Source organism: Homo sapiens, chromosome 8, assembly GCF_000001405.40.
Source record: "Homo sapiens chromosome 8, GRCh38.p14 Primary Assembly".
NCBI classification, from domain to species: Eukaryota; Metazoa; Chordata; class Mammalia; order Primates; family Hominidae; genus Homo; species Homo sapiens.
The window spans coordinates 28,624,713-28,644,851 of NC_000008.11; the positions used below are offsets into that span (position 1 = coordinate 28,624,713).

At 45.3% G+C, this 20,139-nt stretch overlaps 1 protein-coding gene across 7 annotated transcripts in view; it reads left to right on the forward strand.

Annotated features, from left to right (window-relative positions):
- Positions 1-20,139, forward strand: part of EXTL3 (exostosin like glycosyltransferase 3) — a 148,827-nt gene that overhangs the window by 16,977 nt on the left and 111,711 nt on the right. For 2 of the 7 annotated variants that reach the window (NM_001438753.1, NM_001438402.1), the window contains exon 2: positions 12,590-12,717. The exons of 3 other annotated variants lie outside the window; for them this stretch is intronic. The gene's annotated coding sequence lies outside the window, so the exon portion shown is untranslated. Of the gene's footprint in view, positions 1-12,586; positions 12,718-20,139 lie in introns of all 7 variants that reach the window. 2 more of the 7 variants (NM_001438401.1, NM_001438400.1) reach the window with 2 other exon arrangements.

Sequence of the window (20,139 nt, forward strand, 5' to 3'; positions counted from 1 at the left end):
TTAATAGTCACCGACACCATAAGAACTAGAAGGCACCATCTGAAGCTTAAAAGGAAGTTTAAAAACATGTTAAATTCAGACAATAACTTTGCACAGTGGTTTGCAAACATCAGTAAACCCAAACCCTCAAGTGATTCCTATGGAAAGACACTGACACTCAGATCAAGAAATTTAAATACAAATTCATGGGCTAACTAAAAAAATAAGCAGATCAAGTATCTCCAGCATCAACTGTGAATACACACACGTTAGGTTAATTTAAAAAATGACCCACTGTTTTTTACAATCTTCCAATGCCTGTATGCTTCCAAAAAGGCACAGCTGGCATACTTTTTGCTTCTAAAGGAGGTAAACTTTAAAAACTGACCCGCAGTTACAGACCGGCACTTAGAGGAGTTAACTCAAACAGGTGAGTGACTCACCAATTACTCATTTTTTCTGCAGATTATTTACCTACTAAGTGCAAGACTGGACTCATAGCTTTAGCTCACTCCTAGTGAAAACACTGCACATAGGATCTATAAATGGAGGCTGTGTCATCAAGACCTCAGAAGTAGGGGCCGGCATATTTCTTAGACACTGATGAAACAGAAACATCTCTCAGAAGAACCATAAAGACATGAGTAGCTCTGTGTTAAAACACATCATTTATTTTGAAGGGAAAAAGGAACGCAGAAAGAACAATAGAGAGGAACTCAGAGCATTTCCTCTGTGGCTTCCCCCTTTGTGGTGCCAATTTAAAACAAAATTATTGTCTAATGATACTAATTTTTAAATAATAGTCATGTAATGTGAGGTTATAGAAGTAGTTATTCTGAAGGAGATAGTCACTCATACATGAACTGTCCAGGTTTCCAATAATAAAAACATCACTCTATTCCTATTCATGTATTTGTTCAATAAACACCCTAGCACAGTTTTAGGATTAGGAATATGAAGATAAATAGTTTAACATCTGACTTTAAGAAGCTGATCTAGTTGGGGAAATCAACCCAGAGATAATTATGCAGTTGGTATGATGATAGATGTCTGCTCGTAGTGCTATCGGACCTCTGAAAAAATCAGTGCCTGAAATTAGTATTAAAGGATGACTAAGTTTTAGCCAGAAGTGGGAGGAGACTGCTCCAGGTAGAGGGAACAAACATTAACAAAATCATGGAGGTAAAGGCCAGGCACGGTGGCTCACGCCTATAATCCCAGCACTTTGGGAGGCCAAGGTGGGAGGATTGCTTGAACCCAGGAGTTTGAGACCAGCTTGGGCAATATAGTGAGACCACATTTCTCCAAAAAAAAAAAAAAAAAAAAAAAAAAAAGCCAGGTGAGGTGGTGCACACCTGTTGTCTCAGCTACTTGGGAGGCTGAGGTGTGAGGATCTCTTGAGTCCAGGAGGTGGAGGTTACAGTGAGCTGAGATTGCACCATTGCACTACAATCTGGGCAACAGGGTGAGACCCTGTCTAAAAAAAAAAAAAAATTAAACTAAAAAAATTTTTTAAATGGTGGAGATAAAGTACCAAAATATGAGGCCTAGAAAGATATAGAATAAGACTAAAGAAAGAGGACGGGGTCACACCATAAAAAGTCTTGTAAAGGCAGGGGGAGCCACTGGAAACTTTGGTGGGAGAATAACAGGATCAGATCTGCTTTAAGCAGCTTACTCTGAGGCTTCAGTGAAGAATGGACTTAGGAGGGTAGGAGGCAGGAAGAGCTGTTAAGAGGCTGCAGCAGTGATTAGGAAAGAAATGATGAGGGTGCAGCGTTGGTGGAACGTGTGGCCAAATGGTCATGCATTCCTAGACATTATCAGCTTTCTTAGACATGATTTCATTTGGTTTTTGTAACCACCCTTTGCTTTTTGTAGGGTAGATTAATAGGCGCATTCTGTAAGTGTTTACTTAGGCACTTTGTGTTCACTATCCCTGAATCTTATAAAAACCCTGTAAGTTGAGTATTATTAGCCCACTTCCCAGAAGCGTGTACTGAGGCACTGGTGAGGGCAGAGGCACAATCAGCTCCAGGTGCAGTCTTTTCATACAGGGCTCATTCTGAACAGCAGATTGGTCCTTGCCTCTGAAGACTGAGGTGGGACAGCCCTTCCAGGTAAACCCACACCTCAGGCGTCAGCATGGGAGTGAGACCGCAGTGCCTGGCTTCTCAAGCAATACTGTTTATGCATTTAAAAGTCCCCTGGCTGGGCGTGGTGGCTCATGCCTGTAATGCCAGCACTTTGGGAGGCCGAGGCAGGCAGATCACGAGGTCAGGAGATCGAGACCATCCTGGCTAACACGGTGAAACCCTGTCTCCACTAAAAATACAAAAAATTAGCTGGGCGTGGTGGCGGGCGCCTGTAGTCCCAGCTACTCAGGAGGCTGAGGCAGGAGAATGGCGTGAACCCAGGAGGTGGATCTTGCAGTGAGCCAGAGCCAGGATTACGCCACTGCACTCCAGCCTGGGCGACAGAGCGAGACTCCATCTCAAAAAAAAAAAATTAAAAAAAATAAAAAAAATTCCCCTTGAGGCTGGGCGCAGTGGCTCATGACTAATCCCAGCACTTTGGGAGGCTGAGGCAGGCGGATCACTTGAGACTGGGCAACGTGGCAAAACTCGTCTCTACAAAAATATACAAAAATTAGCCTGGCATGGTTGTGCGTGCATCTGTTGCCCAAACTACTAGTTGGGGCTGAGCTAGGAGGATCACTTGAGCTGAGGAGGTAGAGAGAGGCTGCAGTGAGCTGTGATTGCATCACTGTATTCCAGCCTGGGTGAGACCCTGTCTCAAAAAAAAAAAAAAAAAGTCTCCTTGAAAAAGATCATATAGAAGTTCTGGAAAAAATGAAACATAGAATTATCATGTGATCAGCAATGTCACTTCTGGATTTAAAGCCAAAAGAATTGTAAGCAGGGATTTGAATAGATATTTATACATCCATGTACCTAGCAAAGTTCTTTACAGTAGCCAAAAGGTGGCTGCTGCCTCAGTGTTCATGGACAGATGAATGGATAAACAAAATGTGTCAGTACAAACAATGGAATATTATTTAGCCTTAAAAAGGAAGTTCTGACACATGCTACAACATGGATGAACCTTAAGGACATCATGCTAAGTGAAATAAGCCAGTCACAAAAGAACAGATGCTATATGATTCTACTCGTATGAGGTCCCTAAAGCAGTCAAGCTCATAGAGACAGAAAGCATGGGGGTTGCCAGAAGCTAGGGGGAGGAGGAGTGGGGAGTTCATGTTTAATGGGTACAGAGTTTCAGCCTGGGAAGATGAAAAAGTTCTAGAGAAGGATGATGGTGATGGTTACACAACAATGTGAACGTGCTTAATGTCATACACCATTGCACTTAAAAATGGTTAAGATAAGCCAAGTGCATTGACTCAACACCTGTAATCCTAGCACTTTGGGAGGCCGAGACTAGTGGATCACCTGAGGTCAGGAGTTCAAGACAAGCCCAGCCAACATGGTGAAACCCCGTCTCTGCTAAAAACACAAAAATAATCTGGATGTGGTGGCACGAGCCTCTAATTCCAGCTACTCGGGAGGCTGAGGCAGGAGAATCGCTCGAACCCAGGAGGCAGAGGTTGCAGTGAGCTGAGATCGTAACACTGCACTCCAGCCTGGGCAACTGGGTGAGACTCCATCTCAAAAAATAAAAAGAAATGGTTAAGATAGCTGGGCAGGGTGGCTCACGCCTGTAATCCCAGTGACTCAGGAGGCTGAGGCAGGAGGATCACTTGAGCCAAGGTTGAGGCTGCAGTGAGCTATCATTGCACCACTGCTCCAGCCTGGGCAGCAGAGCGAGACCTCATCGCTTCAATAAAAACTGGTGAAAATGGCCAATTTTATGTTCAATCTATTTTACCACACACATAAAAAGTCCTATGGTATGTCACGTTATGATCAGATTCCCAAGGCCTAGGAGCTTGTGACAAACTTGTTTTTTGTTTGTTTTTTGAGACAGAGTCTCACTCTGTTTCCCAGGCTAGAGTGCAGTGGCACAATCTCTGCTCACTGTAACCTCTGCCTCCCAGATTCAAGCAATTCTCCTGCCTCAGCCTCCCGAGTAGCTGGGATTATAGGTGCACACCGTCATTCCTGGCTAAGTTTTGTATTTTTTGTGGAGATGGGGTTTCACAGTGTTGGCCAGGCTGGTCTCCAATTCCTGACAGATTTGTGATAAGGAAGACTAGGAAATGCAACCAGGAAGATTAAAATGGGCATCTCATAGATTCCAGCCCAAGGAAAGAATGCTGGCTGGATTCCTGGAGGAAAAATCACAGAATGAGAAGCTGGAAGGTGGCAGAGATGGCATTTAGTTCAACTTCCTCTTTTTACAGATGAGAACGGTGAGGCCCGAGCTATCCAGTGACTGCCTAGGGTCACTGAGCAACTTCAAGCAAAGGGAGGATGTGAAGCCAAAACCTGTCCACCCTCCCCCACCCCCACCCTCCAATTCCCCCTGAAAGACAACCAGTGCCTGGTACTGAGAAGGAATCTCTGGGCTGACTGACAAAGATGTGCTCTGGCTTGCTTTTCAAGCAGAAAACAAACCGAGTTTTCCATCTCAATCAGTCTTGCTACAGCACATTCATAGGACTACCATGGCTGAAGAGATTTGGGTGCTTAGAATTTGGTGTTTGGTTGCTGGCTGTCTAGGTATCAAGGTGGGAAAGTGGTGACGTTAGAGTGAGTTAGTTCATTCATTCATTCATTATCAAATATCTGAGGGCCGACAACGTGTCAAATATCTTCTCCAATTTCTAGTTTTTCTATCTAGTAACAACCATCTGCCATCTTTATTCTAGATGTTCTGCCAGTTGCCCTTGGACATAAACTCCTTTTATGTAAGCTTTCATTGACTCCTGGATGGGGCCCCTCGGGAATAGGTAGAGTTGGAGGGGAGATGTTATGAGATGAAGGTGGGCGGTGCCAAATGCCAGAGACAGTTTCAGTTCCATCAAGGAAGCCACCCAGAGCTACAGGGTTCCAATTCGGATGTGTGTCTAGGGGCTCTAAGATGCAGAAGGACTGGAATCCTGTTGGTGTAACTTGCTCCGGCAGAGACCAGGTATGGGGATTGCCTGGAGGTCTTAATGCCTGCATGGAGGTTCCCAGTGATACATGCAGCAGAAAACCCAAAAGACAGACTAAAAGGAGAGCTATTCAGAGATAAGCAGAGATGCAAGAGAGAGAGAGAGATGTGGAAGGGGGTGCAATCTGGAAGACCCACAATTTTCCTGGGACGACATCCCAATCTTGTGGCCTCTAAGGATAAAGCCAGGTTGACTCATCACGATGATGCATAAAGGTAGATAGAGCCTCTTTTTCTTTTTTAACTGATATGGTTTGGCTATGTCCCCACCCAAATCTCATCTTGAATTGTTGCTCCCATAATCTCCATGTGTCGTGGGAGGGACCTGGTGGGAGGTAATTGATACATGGGGGCAGGTTTTTCCCATGCTGCTCTCGTGATAGTGAATAAGTCTCATGAGATCTGATCGTTTTATAAAGGGGAGTTCTCCTGCACACACACTCTTGCCTGCTGCCATGTAAGATGTGCCTTTGCTCCTCTGCCTTCTGCTGTGATTGTGAGACCTCCCCAGCCATGTGGAACTGTGAGTCCATTAAACCTCTTTTTCTTTATAAATTACCCAGTCTCGGGTATGTCTTTATTAGCAGTACTAATACATTAACCCACTAACCCACTATTTGTATCTGCTTGCTCCCAGGAGAGTTGAGTTGTAGACTACAAGATAAAACATAACTTAAAAAATAAGGCACTAGGGTAGTTTAGTAAAACAATGGCCAGCTTTGAAACCACTTATCAAACTCTGGAACCTTGGAAAAATTAACTAACCTACCAGAATGTTACGTTTCCTCATCTGTAAAATGCAGTAACAACTTTACAGAGTTGTTGGGAGAATTAGAAATCCATTAATGTTTTCATTCAGCACTTTTACTGAGTGCCACGTTAGTGGCAATACTGTGTTAGGAGCAGAACAGGTAAGGATGGGTAAGACATGGTGCCTGCCATTGAGAGGCTTATAACTGGGGCGGAGGAAGACAGACACGTAGATAGACAAGTGGGTGAGGTGTCAAAGAACTTTGCTGGAAATGCATACAGGAAAGAAAGAAGGTATATCAGGAAATGTATGCAGAAAGAAGGAAGGCATGTCAGGAATGGCATGGTGCCAGGTATATAGGAGACGCACAGTAGAGACTAGCTGTTTTTAAAATTATAAAACATAAAAGTGATCAAAGCAGTGAAGCAGAAATAAATCCCGTGGGACACCTGAGATGAGACATTTTGGCACAGAATTTGGCTTTAAGTTTCTTAGAAGCCACGACAGAAAAGGAAACAGGTCGGGTGACATCATTTTCTTATTCTAGTAAGAGAAAGTACACAGATTCAACTTTAGAGAGGACTTTTTTTTTTTTTCTGGAGCTAAATCAAGGAAGGATTATCACGTGGCCTCCCTTGAATATAATTTTGAAGCTGTGAACAGTACCATCAGTAACATTTTATGGACAGCTCTGATGGTTTTTATACCACGGCACTCTTCTTACCTTTGGTGGAAGCTATCTGGAGTTATGACTGATGTGTAAAGTGGTTTACTGTTAGAATCCTGGTGTGCTAGGATTCTGGGAGAGTCACTTTCAGGAAGTTACCTGGCGATGAGTCATCAGAAGAACCTGGAGAAGTGAGAAGACTGGAAAAGTTCTCATTGTTCTGAGCTCAGTTATTTTCTCTGTGCTACAGGGCAGAGGATCCCTTGGCATGAAATAAGAGCTAAGTGGTCCAACAGGCGTTGAAGTGTTAAAACAAGAATAGAGTAAGTCCTGTGCTAATCCTGACACAAGATAGCAGGCTCTGGGGATGATAATGCCTGCTGCTGATGGGCGGACCAGGGATTAGCAACCATCCAGGGAATATGCTTCAGATAAACTAAACAGGAGGTAGGATGATGCCATGGAAAAGGCATGGACTTTGAAGTCAGGTATATCAAGTTCAAATCCTAGGTCTGCTAGTTGCTAGTTTCACAAAGTACTTAATTTTCTGATCCTCAATGGGATATTAAGAGTTATCTTGGGCCGGGCACAGTGGCTCATGCCTGTAATCCCAGCACTTTGGGAGGCCGAGTTGGGTGGATCACAAAGTCAAGAGATCGAGACCATCCTGGCCAACATGGTGAAACCCCGTCTCTACTAAAAATACAAAAATTAGCTGGGTGTGGTGGTGCACGCCTGTAGTCCTAGCTACTTGGGAGGCTGAGGCAAGAGAATCACTTGAACCTGGGAGGCGGAGGTTGCAGTGAACCAAGATTGAGCCACTGCGCTGCACTCCGGCCTGGCGACAGAGTGAGACTCCATCCCGCCACCACCCACCAAAAAAAAAAATTTATCTTGGGCCAGGCGTGGTGGCTCACGCCTGTAATCCCAGCACTTTGGGAGGCTGAGGCAGGTGGATCACCTGAGGTCAGGAGTTCAAGACCAGCCTGACCAACATGGTGAAACCCCATCTCTACTAAAAATACAAAAATTAGCTGGGCACCTGTAATCCCAGCTACTTGGAAGGCTGAGGCAGGAGAATCGCTTAAACCCAGGAGACAGAGGTTGCAGTGAGCTGAGTTCATGCCATTGCACTCCAGCCTGGGCAACAAGAGTGAAACTTCATTTCAAAAAACAAAAGAGTTATCTCGTATTTCTTGGTTGTTTTGCCAATTAAAGTTAAGGTATATAAACAATAATAATAGTAATAATAATGAGTGCTAACAATGATTGAGACCTTAGTGCAGGCCCTCTGCTAAGTGTTTTAACTGCATTATCTCATTTATTCTTTTTTTTTTTTTTTTTTGAGAGGAGTCTTGCTGTGTTGCCCAGGCTAGAGTAGAGTGGTACGATCTCGGCTCACCACAACCTCTGTCTCCTGGGTTGAAGCGATTCTCCTGCCTCAGCCTTCGAAATAGCAGGGATTTACAGGCACGCCACCACACCCAGCTAATTTTTGTATTTTTTAGTAGAGACGGGGTTTCACCATGTTGGCCAGGCTGGTCTCGAACTCCTGACCTCAGGTGATCTGCCTGCCTCGGCCTCCCAAAGTGCTGTGATTACAGGCGTGAGCCACTATGCCCAGCCACATTTATTCTTAATAGCAACTCTCTGTGGTACATACTACCTGGCAATTAGAAGATGCTCGGCAGATGGTATATATTAGTATCATTTGTTTAAAATTAATAAATAATAAAAATATTAAATCTGGCCCATTGTCTGTTTTCGTAGTCCATGAGCTAAGAATGGTGTGTAAATTTTTAAATGGTTGGGAAAAAAATTAAAATAGAGGCCGAGTGTTGTGGCTCACACTTGTAATCCCAGTGCTTTGAGAGGCTGAGGCAGGAGGATCACTTGAGGCCAGGATTTCAAGACCAGCCTGGGTAACATAGCAAGACCCCATCTCTACAAAATTTTAAAAATTAGGCAGGTGTGTTGGCGCACGCCTGTATTCACAGCTACTCAGGAGGCTGAGGCGGGAGGATCACTGGAGGCTGCGAGGTTGAGGCTGCAGTGAGCCATGACTGCACCACTGCACTCCAGCCTAGGCATCAGAATGAGACCCTGTCTGCAAAAATAATAATAAAAATAAAAAAATAAATCAGGCCAGGTGTGGTGGCTCACTCCTGTAATCTCACTTTGGGAGGCTGAGGTGGGCAGATCACTTGAGACCAGGAGTTTGAGACCAGCCTGGCCATCTCTACTAAAAATACAAAAATTAGCCGGGTGTGGTGTTGGGCGCCTGTAGTCCCAGCTACTTGGCAAGCTGAAGCACGAGAATCACGTGAACCCAGGAGGCGGAGGTTTCAGTGAGTTGAGATTGCCCCACTGCAGTCCAGCCTGGGTGACAGAGCGAGACTCTGTTTCAAAAATAATAATAATAATATTTTATGACATGAAAATAATATAAATTTAAATTTCAGTGTTTATAAGGTTTCCTTGGAACACATTCACGCCCTTTTGTTTACATGCTGTCTAAAGATGTTACATGCCATCTAAAGCCATCAGCACTGCATTAGTCTTCAGTGGCTGTGATGGAGATACGAATGACCTGCAAAGCCCTACATGTTTACTATGTGGCCCTTGACAGAAAACGTTCGCTGATCCCTGATTTAGAACAAGACCTCCAGGGGCCGCTACAGAACAGAAACTCAGCCGACCTCTGTGTTAGCAAGATCGCCCAGGGGTGACTTTTCAGACACGGAATCTGGTAGGAGTGGAAATCCCATCTGCCCCCTTGTTGAGACCCATGGACAAGGCCTGTGCTGGACAGTCCCAGCATCCACATGGGCCGGGTTGAGGAGAGAAACAGGGCTGGGGCCAAGCCCATCTGGGGCCAGAACTTAGTGGAGCAGGCTGAGAAATCTGGGATCTCTGAGCTTTTTGTTTTTATGCTTTCGTATTTGTTTGCTTTTCCCTTTGTGTTTTAGCAAAAATTCTCTTTTAAAATTCTCATCTAAGCTAAATCAAGGAGGAGAAATGATCGGTTCACATCTGGGCCAGGATAGAGTCCAAAGTTCTTCATTGTTCTTAAGCCATGCTGTGTCTGCCTGGCCCCTGTCACTTCCTTGTCAGGACTCCCCTCCTGATCGCTCCCTACCCCCGGCTCTACTCAGGCCGTGCAGCTCGCAGCACCCAGGAAGAAGTCTGTTACACCTTTCATGCTGTTTTATCCTCTGCGGGTCCCTCCGTTTCCCACCCCTCCACACCTTCCCAACCTGGCGGAATCCTCAGCCTTCAAGATTCTGCTGAAGTGCCACCTCCTCTTCCGGGAGGCCCTTCCTGGCTCTTTCTGCCCATCCTGGAAGAGGGAAGAGATGACCACATCTGCTTTTTTTTTTTTTTTTGAGATGGAGTCTCACTGTGTTGCCCAGGCTGGAGTGCAGTGGCGGAATCTCAGCTCATTGCAACCTCCACCCCCGGGTTCAAGTGATTATCCTGCCTCAGCCTCTGGAGTAGCTGGGATTACAGGCGTGCACCACCACACCCAGCTAATTTTCTGTATTTTTAGTAGAGACGGGTTTTGCCATGTTGGCCAGGCTGGTCTTGAACTCCTGACCTCAAGTGATCCGCTCGCTTCGGCCTCCCATAGTGCTGAGATTACAGGGGTGAGCCACTGCACCCGGCTGACATCTGCTTTTTTGCCACACTCTACCTCCTATCCTACCACCTGTCACTCTGCATGGGCGATGTCCACTGTCTGTGGATTCTTTCCTGTTAGCGATGACGTTGTAAACTTAGCACCCCACACGGCTCCTGGACCATGGTAACCTGGAGTGTGTGAAGGCTGTAAATGAGGATGAGTCCTCTGAAGGACCGGGAGGAATGAACTTTCTAGCTCAAGAACTAGAAATTCCTCAATAAAAGATGATGTTGATGAATGGAAACTGAAGCAAGGAAGGCCTAGGGTGGCAACGTTCCTGCCTGGGCTTTTTTCTTTTCCTTTATGTGAAGGATATTGAATAATTCAGTAGGAAATACCCTTAACTATAAAAGACAGAAAACACTAAGCAAGGAATGGTGGCACACACTTGTAGTCCCAGCTACTCAGGAGGCTGAGGCATGAGGATCACCTGAGCCCAGGAGTTTGAGACCAGCCTGGGCAACATAGCAAGACTGGTCTCTTAAAAAAAAAAAAAAAAAAAAAAAAATTGGCCGAGCGCAGTGGCTCACACCTGTAATCCCAGCACTCTGGGAGGCCGAGGCGGGCGGATCATGAGGTCAGGAGATCAAGATCATCCTGGCTAATGCAGTGAAACCCTGTGTCTACTAAAAAATACAAAAAAAAAAAAAAATTAGCCAGGCATAGTGGCGGGTGCCTGTAGTCCCAGCTACTTAGGAGGCTGAGGCAGGAGAATGGTGTGAACCTGGGAGGTGGAGCTTGCAGTGAGCTGAGATCGCACCACTGCACTCCAGGCTGGGCAACATAGTGAGACCCCCCCACAACTCCACACACACACACACACACACACACACACTATTCAAACAGAATATTCATGTAATACCTCTCCAAGGACTTCCAGCACAAGGCTACATTGTAATTCAGAGAAGACATTTCAGGAGGGGCTGAGACAATATTGTCCAACAACTTTGTTGATGATAAAATATAAGGATAGAATTTTCTTTTCTTTTTTAATAGAGATGGGGTTTGCCATGTTGGCCAGGCTGGTTTTGAACTCCTGAGCTCAAGCAATTCGCCTGCCTTAGTCTCTCAAAGTGCTGGCATTACAGGCATGAGTCACTGCCCCCGGCCGAGGATAGAATTTGAAAAATGCAAATGTTGGTCCAGCACAGTGGCTCACACCTGTAATCCTCACACTTTGGGAGGCTGAGGCGGGTAGATCACATGAGGTCAGGAGTTCAAGACCACCCTGGGCAACACGGTGAAACCCTGTCTCTACTAAAATACAAAAAAATTAGCTGGGTGTGGTGGTGCGCACCTGTAGTCCCAGCTGCTTGGGTGGCTGAGGCAGGAGAATTGCCTGAACCCAGGAGGCGGAGGTTGCAGTGAGCCGAGATCGCGCGACTGCACTCCAGCCTGGGTGACAGACCAAGACTCCATCTCAAAAAAAAAAAAAAACAAATGTCTAACTCGCCAGGAGACAAGATCTTTCAAGTACAGATATCTCACATGAGCTCTTATCACCCTCAACGGAATCTTGTCACAGGACAAGGAAGGATTGGGGCTGGAAGGATCTTACCTAATAGCCTCTTGGTATCTGCTCTCTCCAAGGGCAATATCTGCCCTTAAGAGAATTGTTGTCTGTAACTTTGATCTCAACTGGGTGATTGCTGAGCTCTCAAGACCTTTATCTTACAAGCACAGTTTGAGTTGGTTTTTTCATGCTCTCACTCTAGCCTAGGAATCCTTTCGGCCACTTTGGGCCTGTTGTGAGTTCCTAGGGTGGCAGATCTCCATGAACTTGCCCGTTTACTCTGCGGAAAACTTAGTGTTATAGCAGGTTGGCGCGTGGTGGCTTACGCCTGTAACCCCAGCACTTTGGGAGGCTGAGACAGGTGGATCACCTGAGGTCAGGAATTCGAGACCAGCCTGGCCAACATGGTGAAACCCTGTCTCTACTAAAAATACAAAAATTAGCTGGGCATGGTGGCATGTGCCTGTAATCCCGGCTTGAACCCAGGAGGCAGAGGTTGCAGTAAGCTGAGATCCCGCCATTGCACTCTAGCCTGGGCAACAGAGTGAGACTGTCTCAGAAAAAGAAAGAAAGAAGCGGGTGGAGGGGGTGGGGCGGGGAGAGGGAGGGAGCGGGGAAGGGAGGAAGGAAACATAGTGTTATATCAGCCAACCTAAAAGTTCCTCTTTCAGGTCATTAATGAAAAATATCCCAGTAATAACATTCCTTTATAAAAGAAACCTTTTATAAATCAGTCGTTTTATTGTAATCAAACTTCTAGATTCCATTCTTTCTGAACAGGTTCTGGTAAAATGGGAACGGTTTCTATTAATCAACTGGACTCTCCTAGCTTAGTCGATTTTCTAGCCAGCTTTCTCTCTCTCCTGTTCTCCGCAGCAGATTTTCAAACACCGCATTCCCCTTAAACCTCCCAGGCTCCCATCACTCCCAGCAAAGAGCCAGCCCGCTACTTTATGGAGACAGGAGAGACTGTCAGACAGTTCCTGCTGCTGCCCAGGTGCATCTGAGTAAGTTTTTCTCTCTTTCTATCCCATTCCAGCTGAAGAAGTATCACTCCTTTGATTAGGGCCAACCTTTAAATCTGTCGATTGAGTCAGTATGATAGTGGCCTGTGTCTATAATCCCAGCTACTCAGGAGGCTGAGGTGGGAGGATCACTTGAGCCCAGGAGTTTGAGACCAGACTAGGCAACATAGCAAGACCCCATGTCTGAAAAAAAAAACAATCAATCTGTGGATTGGCCTGTGCTCTAGGCCTTCTCCTTCCTCCCTTCTCTAGGATCTCTCTTATTGATGATCACCTCTCCTGCATCCTTCTCAGCCTTTGCACCTTGTCCCATCTCATCCATCAAAATCCGTCTTCCTCCAGCAACCCTCCTCTTCACAGCCCAGCTTCTTGGCTTAGAATTATTTCTATCCAGGGACCTCCTTCCTCCTCGGCTCCCCAGCTGCCTTCACTCTGGCTTCTATTCCCCTGGCTGCAATGAAACTATCCTTGCAAAAGTCACAACCAATTCCCTGCTGCTAAACCCAATGTATGTGTCCTAGTCCTTATCTAACTTATCTCCTGAAAGCATTTGGCTTTCCTGACGCACGTGTCTTTGAGAAATTCTCTTCTGCTGGCCCTGTCCTCTCCCACTTTCTTTCCTCCTTTTCCTCGTGCTATTTGTTCTTGGTCTTATCTTCCTGGATCCCTTCCTCCATGGCATTTCTGCCCTGGGCCCCCTACTCTCCCTGTACCCATCTTCTTGGAATTCTTTTGGTTCCAAGTGACAGAACCCAAACTCATGGTTTTGTTGGTAGTGGTGTTTTGCTTGGTTGGTTGTAACAGCCAAGCAAAGGGATAGTTGAGTTTATGGAGCTATTTATGGTTGCACAATTAACTCCATAAACTCAACCAACTAAAACACCACTACCAACGAACCCTATGACAAAGGAAATGCATTATTTCATGCACCTGAAAATCCTGAGGTAGATCTGTGATATCTGGCCCAGAGACATAAAGTAAGGTCGTCATGCTCAGCCTCCCTCTGCCTGTCTCTTGGTTTGTTTTCCTCTGTTCGCTCCACTCTCAGGCAGCCTCTTTCCAAGTGATGGCAAAATGCCTGCCAGCATCTCCAAGCTGAGACCCAGTCCTTTTACCCAGTCCTTTTAGCAAACACAAGACAATCTTCTACTCAATTTCTTAAGCTGGAAGTCTAGGATTCTTTTGTTTTGTTTTGTTTTTTGAGACGGAGTTTTGCTCTTATCACCCAGGCTAGAGTGCAGTGGTGCAATCTCAGCTCACTGCAGTCTCTGCCTCCCGGGTTCGAGCGATTCTTCTGCCTCAGCCTCCTGAGTAGCTGAGATTACAGGCATGTGCCACCATGGCTGGCTAATTTTGTATTTTTAGTACAGACGGGGTCTCACTATGTTTGCCAAGTTGGTCTTGAACTCCTGACGTCAGGTGATCCGCCCACCTCAACGTCCCAAAATACTGGGATTACAGGTGTGAGCCACTGAGCCTGGCTAGGAATAATTTTTTTTTTTTTTTTTGAGATGGAGCCTCACTGTGTCACCCAGGCTGCAGTGCAATGGTGTGTTCTTGGCTCACCACAACCTCCAACTCCCAGGTTCACGCAATTCTCCTGCCTCAGCCTCCCAAGTAGCAGGGACTACAGGCGCCCACCACCACACCTGGCTAATTTTTGTATTTTTAGTAGAGACAGGTTTTCACCATGTTGGTCTGGCCCGTCTTGAACTCCTGACCTTGTGATTCGCCTGCCTCGGCCTCCCAAAGTGCTGGGATTACAGGCGTGAGCCACCGCGCCTGGCCAGGAATCATTTTTGACTCCTCTTCCCCAACATCGGCTTAGTCACCAAGTCCAGTCCCGGGTTCTCAATCTCTCTGCGTCCCTGCTGCCAATAATCTAATTCAGGTCACTGTCCTTTGTCTCCATCCCTGTCCGACCTCCTGGGGGTTTCCTGCCTCAGGTTCTGCTGCTCTGCAGTCCGCTTTTCCCGTCACAGCTGGGACCATCTTTTGAAAATGTAAATCTGGTCCCATCCCTTCGATATACAAAGCACCCATTAGCAGGAAGCTGAAGCAAAACTCCGTGTTACGTTTTCTGAAAGGTGCTGCCTGCTGCGGCTCCTGCCTGCCCCTGCCTGCCTACCTCTTTATACTTCCCCTCTTGGTCCCTGCGGTTTGGCCTCTGATGCCAGTTGAGCCACTCCCTCCACCTGGACGGTTCCTCTCCTGAGTCCCTCCTGACAGCTGCTTTTTGGGTTGCAAGTTAGACATAACTTCACCGAGGACAGCCTTTCATACTGAAGTATGTATATACTCTTCCTGTTAGAACATTCTACTTTTTCCATCTTAGCACTTATCACCCTTTCTTGTAATTGCTTGTTAAATCACCCATGGGCGCAGTGGCTCATGCCTGTAATCCCAGCACTTTGGGAGGCCAAGGTGGGCAGATCACTTGAGGTCAGGAGTTCTAGACCAGCCCAGCCAACATGGCAAAACCCTGTCTCTACTAAAAATACAATTAGCCAAGTGTGGTGGTGCATGCTTGTAATCCCAGCTACTTGGGAGGCTGAAGCACGAGAATCACTTGAACCTGGGAGGCAGAGGTTGCAGTGAGCTGAGATTATACCACTGCACTCCAGCCTGAGCAACACAGTAAGACTCTGTCTCAAAAAAAGAAGAAAAAAAAATCCATACCCCTCTGCAGACTCTAAGGTTCATGAGTGCAGATATTTGCTTTATTTTGTGAAATATCCCCAATATTACAAAGTATAACTCAATATGTATTTGTTGACTTGTACCATAAAATGAGATGCAATTGTATTAGTGGTTTTCCAATTCTCTTCTAGATTTTAGAATTTAGATTGATTCCATAAACTGGAAAAATCTAAAAATATAATATCTATTCTTTCTCTTTATTTATGTGCTTATGGTTCCCCCTTAACAAACGGTAAAGTTTGAGAATTGAAAAGATCTTAGTAAAATCTAGCACTAATTCACTTCATTTGACAGCTTAGGAAGGGGAGGCTCAGAGGGTCTCCATAACTTGCACAAACCACAGAGCTATTTATGGTTGCATAATTAGATCCATAAACTCAAACTCAGAGCCCCCGACTTTCAGTCCAGGGCTTCACCATGGTATTAACACTTTTATTAGCACTTTTATGTATTTTTAACTTAATTATTTTTTTGAGACAAGGTCTTGCTTTGTTGCCTAGGCTGGAGTGGAGTGGTGCGATCATAGCTCACTGCAGCTTCGACCTCCTGGGCTCAAGCAGTTCTCCTGCCTCAGCCTCCCAAGTAGATGGGACCACAGGCATGTGCCACTACACCCGGCTAATTTTTATATTTTTGTGGAGATGGGGTCTCAATATGTTACCCAGGCTGATCTCAAACTCCTGGGCTCACGTGATCCTCCTGTCTCAGTCTCCCAAAGTGCTGGGATTATAGGCGTGAGCCACTACGCCCAGCTGTTATTAGCACTTTTAACAGACTAGTGTAGTATGATTTTTTTTTTCTATTAATACAAAGGAATCTTATTGCTTATAGCCTCACGTTTTACTTTTTAAAATGTACTTTTGGATCCTGTACATCTCAATAGATTTTCAGGAGGAAAATCACTCCCAGGTCTGTAGACGCCTGTGTATCCTCTAAGGTTCTGTGCTCCACGGGTCGGGTTAATACCTAACACATTGCTCACAAAGAGCCAGATATTACACATTGTATTCAGTTCTCCTACAGTTTCACCTCAGAAGGATAATGACTGAGTAGATGCCATCTGGATTTGATGATCTGGGGAATGCTTATGTTATGTAAAAGAAGTAACAGACTGGTTTAACTCTGTATTAACCGTTCCCTATTGCTTCTGTGAAGTTTACAGGACTCACTGTTAACTTCACAGGGGCAATGGAGCAGTCCATTATGAAACATGAGCTTGAAAGCTGTTTCTATAAGTTAAGGTTTGGAAAAGACCGAGCAAGAGTAACACTTGAAAAATAATTATTTTAGAATTGGGTATGGATTAAAAAGCAAATATTGGGGAAAAGTATTTAATTTATTTTTTTTTAAACGGAGTCTCACTCTTTCCTCCAGGCTGGAGTGCAGTGGCATAATCTCAGCTCACTTCAACCTCCGCCTCCCGAGCTAAAGCGATTCTCCGGCCTCAGCCTCCGGAGTAGCTGGGATTACAGGCGTGTGCCACCACGCCTAATTTTTGTATTTTTAGTAGAGATGGGGTTTCACCATGTTGGTCAGGCTGGTCTCAAACTCCTGACCTCAAGTGATCCACCCCCTCCCCGACCCCCTCCGCCGCGTGGCCTCCCAAAGTACTGGGATTACAGGTGTGAGCCATGGCGCCTGGCCATAACTTTATTTTAAATTAAATTTAAATTTGATTTAATTTAATTTATTTATTTGTTTTTCTTGAGACGGAGTCTCGCTCTGTCACCCAGGCTGGAGTGCAGTGGAGCGATCTTGGCTCACTGCAAGCTCTGCCTCCCGGGTTCATGCCATTCTCCTGCCTCAGCCTCCCAAGTAGCTGGGACTACAGGTGCCCAACACCACGCCCAGCTAATTTTTTCTATTTTTAGTAGAGATGGGATTTCACTGTGTTAGCCAGGATGGTCTCGATCTCCTGACCTCGTGATCCGCCCGCCTCAGCCTCCCAAAGTGCTGGGATTACAGGCGTGAGCCACCGTGCCCGGCCTTTTTTAATTTTTAATTAAAAATTTAGGCCAGGCACAGTGGTTCATGCCTGTAAATTCTAACACTTTGAGAAGCCTAGGCAGGCAGATTGCTTGAGTCCAGGAGTTCGAGACCAGCCTGGGCAACATGGTGAAACCCCATCTCTATTAAAAAAAATACAAAATTAGCAGGGCATGGGGACATGCACCTGTGGTCCCAGCCACTTGGGAAACTGAGGCAGGACAATCACTTGGGCCCAGGAGGTAAAGGCTGCAGTGAGCCAAGATTGCACCACTACACTCTAGCCTGGGTGACAGAGCGAAACACTGTCTCAAAAAAAAAAAAAAAAAAAAATTAGGGCTAGGTGTGGTAGCTCATACCTGTAATCCCAGCACTTTGGGAGGCTGAGGTGGGAGGATTGCATGAGTCCAGGAGTTCGAGGCTGCAGTGAGCTCTGATTGTGCCAGTGTACTCCAGTCGGGGAGACAGAGCAAGACCCTAGCATTACAAAAGAAATGTTTTAAGGAAACCAAAAGTGGAACCGATTGACCAATATATTATGAAACTCCAATGAATTGACCTATTCCAAAAGGAAATTCCTTGGCCACAGATTGCAAGTAAGTGTTCTTCAGGTGTTATTTTTTACTGTTAACTTTTTTTTTACCTTGAAATTTTATTTTAAAAATTGACATGCAGAAAATTGATTTTTGGGATATATAGTTATAGACATTTTAATTTTAAATTTAGCATGTAGAAACTACTTTTAAAATGACTTTTATATAAATGTTGAGTAGATGCAAAAGAAAATGTGCAATACAGGTGTAGGGTACAGAAATAATAACAACGGTGGGCCAGGCGCGCTGGTTCACGCCTGTAATCCCAGCACTTTGGGAGACCGAGGCAGATGGATCACCTGAGGGCAGGAGTTGGAGACCATCCTGGCCAACATGGTGAAACCCCATCTCTACTAAAAAGACAAAAATTAGCCAGGTGTGGTGGTGGGTGCCTGTAATTCCAGCTACTCAAGAGGCTGAGGCAGAAGAATCGCTTGAACCTGGGACGTGGAGGTTGCAGTGAGCCTAGATTGAGCCACTTCACTCCAGCCTGGGTGACAGAGCAAGACTCCATCTCAAAAAACAAAAAAAAGAACACCACGGTGAATCCTGTGTACTCATCAACCATTTTAAGAACATAATGGCTTGTCTTAGAGGCCCCCATTGGCCCATTCTACTCCCTTTGTTCCCCCTAAGAAGTAACCACCGTCCTGAATTTTGAACCTATCATTCTCCTGCTTTCTTTTTTTTTCTTTTTTTCTTTTTTGAGACAGAGTCTCGCTCTTTCGCCCAGGCCGGACTGCAGTGGTGCTATCTTGGCTCACTGCAAGCTCTGCCTCCCGGGTTTACGCCATTCTCCTGCCTCAGCCTCCCGAGTAGCTGGGACTACAGGCGCCCGCTACCACACCCGGCTAATTTTTTTTTTGTATTTTTAGTAGAGATGGGGTTTCACCGTGTTAGCCAGGATGGTCTCGATCTCCTGACCTCGTGATCCACCAGCCTCAGCCTCCCAAAGTGCTGGTATTACAGGCGTGAGCCACCGCGCCTGGCCTCTCCTGCTTTCTTTTATTACATGCATTTGTATTTCTTAACAATATAGGTTTTGTTTTTGTTTTATGATACAGGGTCTTGCCTTGTCACCCAAGCTGGAGTACAGTGTCACAATCACAGCTCACTGTAGGTTCAACCTCTCCGGCTTAAGTGAACCTCCCCCCTGAGCCTCCTGAGTAGCTGGGACCACAGGTGGGCACCACCACGCCTAGCTAATTTTTAAATTTTTGTAGAGATAGGGTCTCACTCTGTTGCCCAGGCTGGTCTCAAACTCCTGGGATAAAGTGGTCCTCTGCCTCGGCTTCCCAAAATGCTGGGATTATGGGCATGAGTCATTGTGCCCAGCCTAAGCAATATGTTTTTAAAACATTTTTACAGTTTGATTTTTTTTTTTAGCTTGACTTTTAGATGAATGAAATTATACTATTTGCATACTTATGAGCCTTTTTTTTGCTCAATATTATGTTTTTGAGATTGATTCATTAAAGATGGATGTGATTCATTTATTTAGGGTAGTACTCTATTATATAAAGAGATCACAATTATCAGTTTCACTATTGGACATTTAGGACGTTTCAAGTTTTTCTTTTTTTCTTTTTTGCTAGTGAATCAGTGCTGCTATGAACATTACTCTGGGTGTATGCTTGGACATAGAATCTCTGGAGTACAGTCTCAACTGTTAATTCAAAATAAAATGTTTGGCCCAGTGCGGTGGCTCACACCTGTAATCCCAGCACTTTGGGAGGCCAAGACAAGAGGATCACTAGAGGCCAGGAGTTTGAGACCAGCCTGGTCAAGAGAGTGAGACCCCATCTCTACAGAAATTTTGAAAATTAGCCAGGCACAGTGGTTCACGCCTATAATCTCAGCACTTTGGAAGCTCGAGGTGGGAGGATTGCTTAAGCCCAGGAGTGCAAGGCTGCAGTGAGCTATGATGGACAGAGCAAGACCCTGTCTCTAAAAAATAAAATTTAAAAGTAAATTAAAATGTTCAATGTATCTTTTCGTTATGATTCCTTGCTTCAACTGATTATTTCAGTTAATAGAACTACCTACTCTCCTACTGTATGTACGTGGGCTTGTTGTATGCTTCTGAATCTTTTCATTTATTATAATTTTGCTTTTGAAATGAATT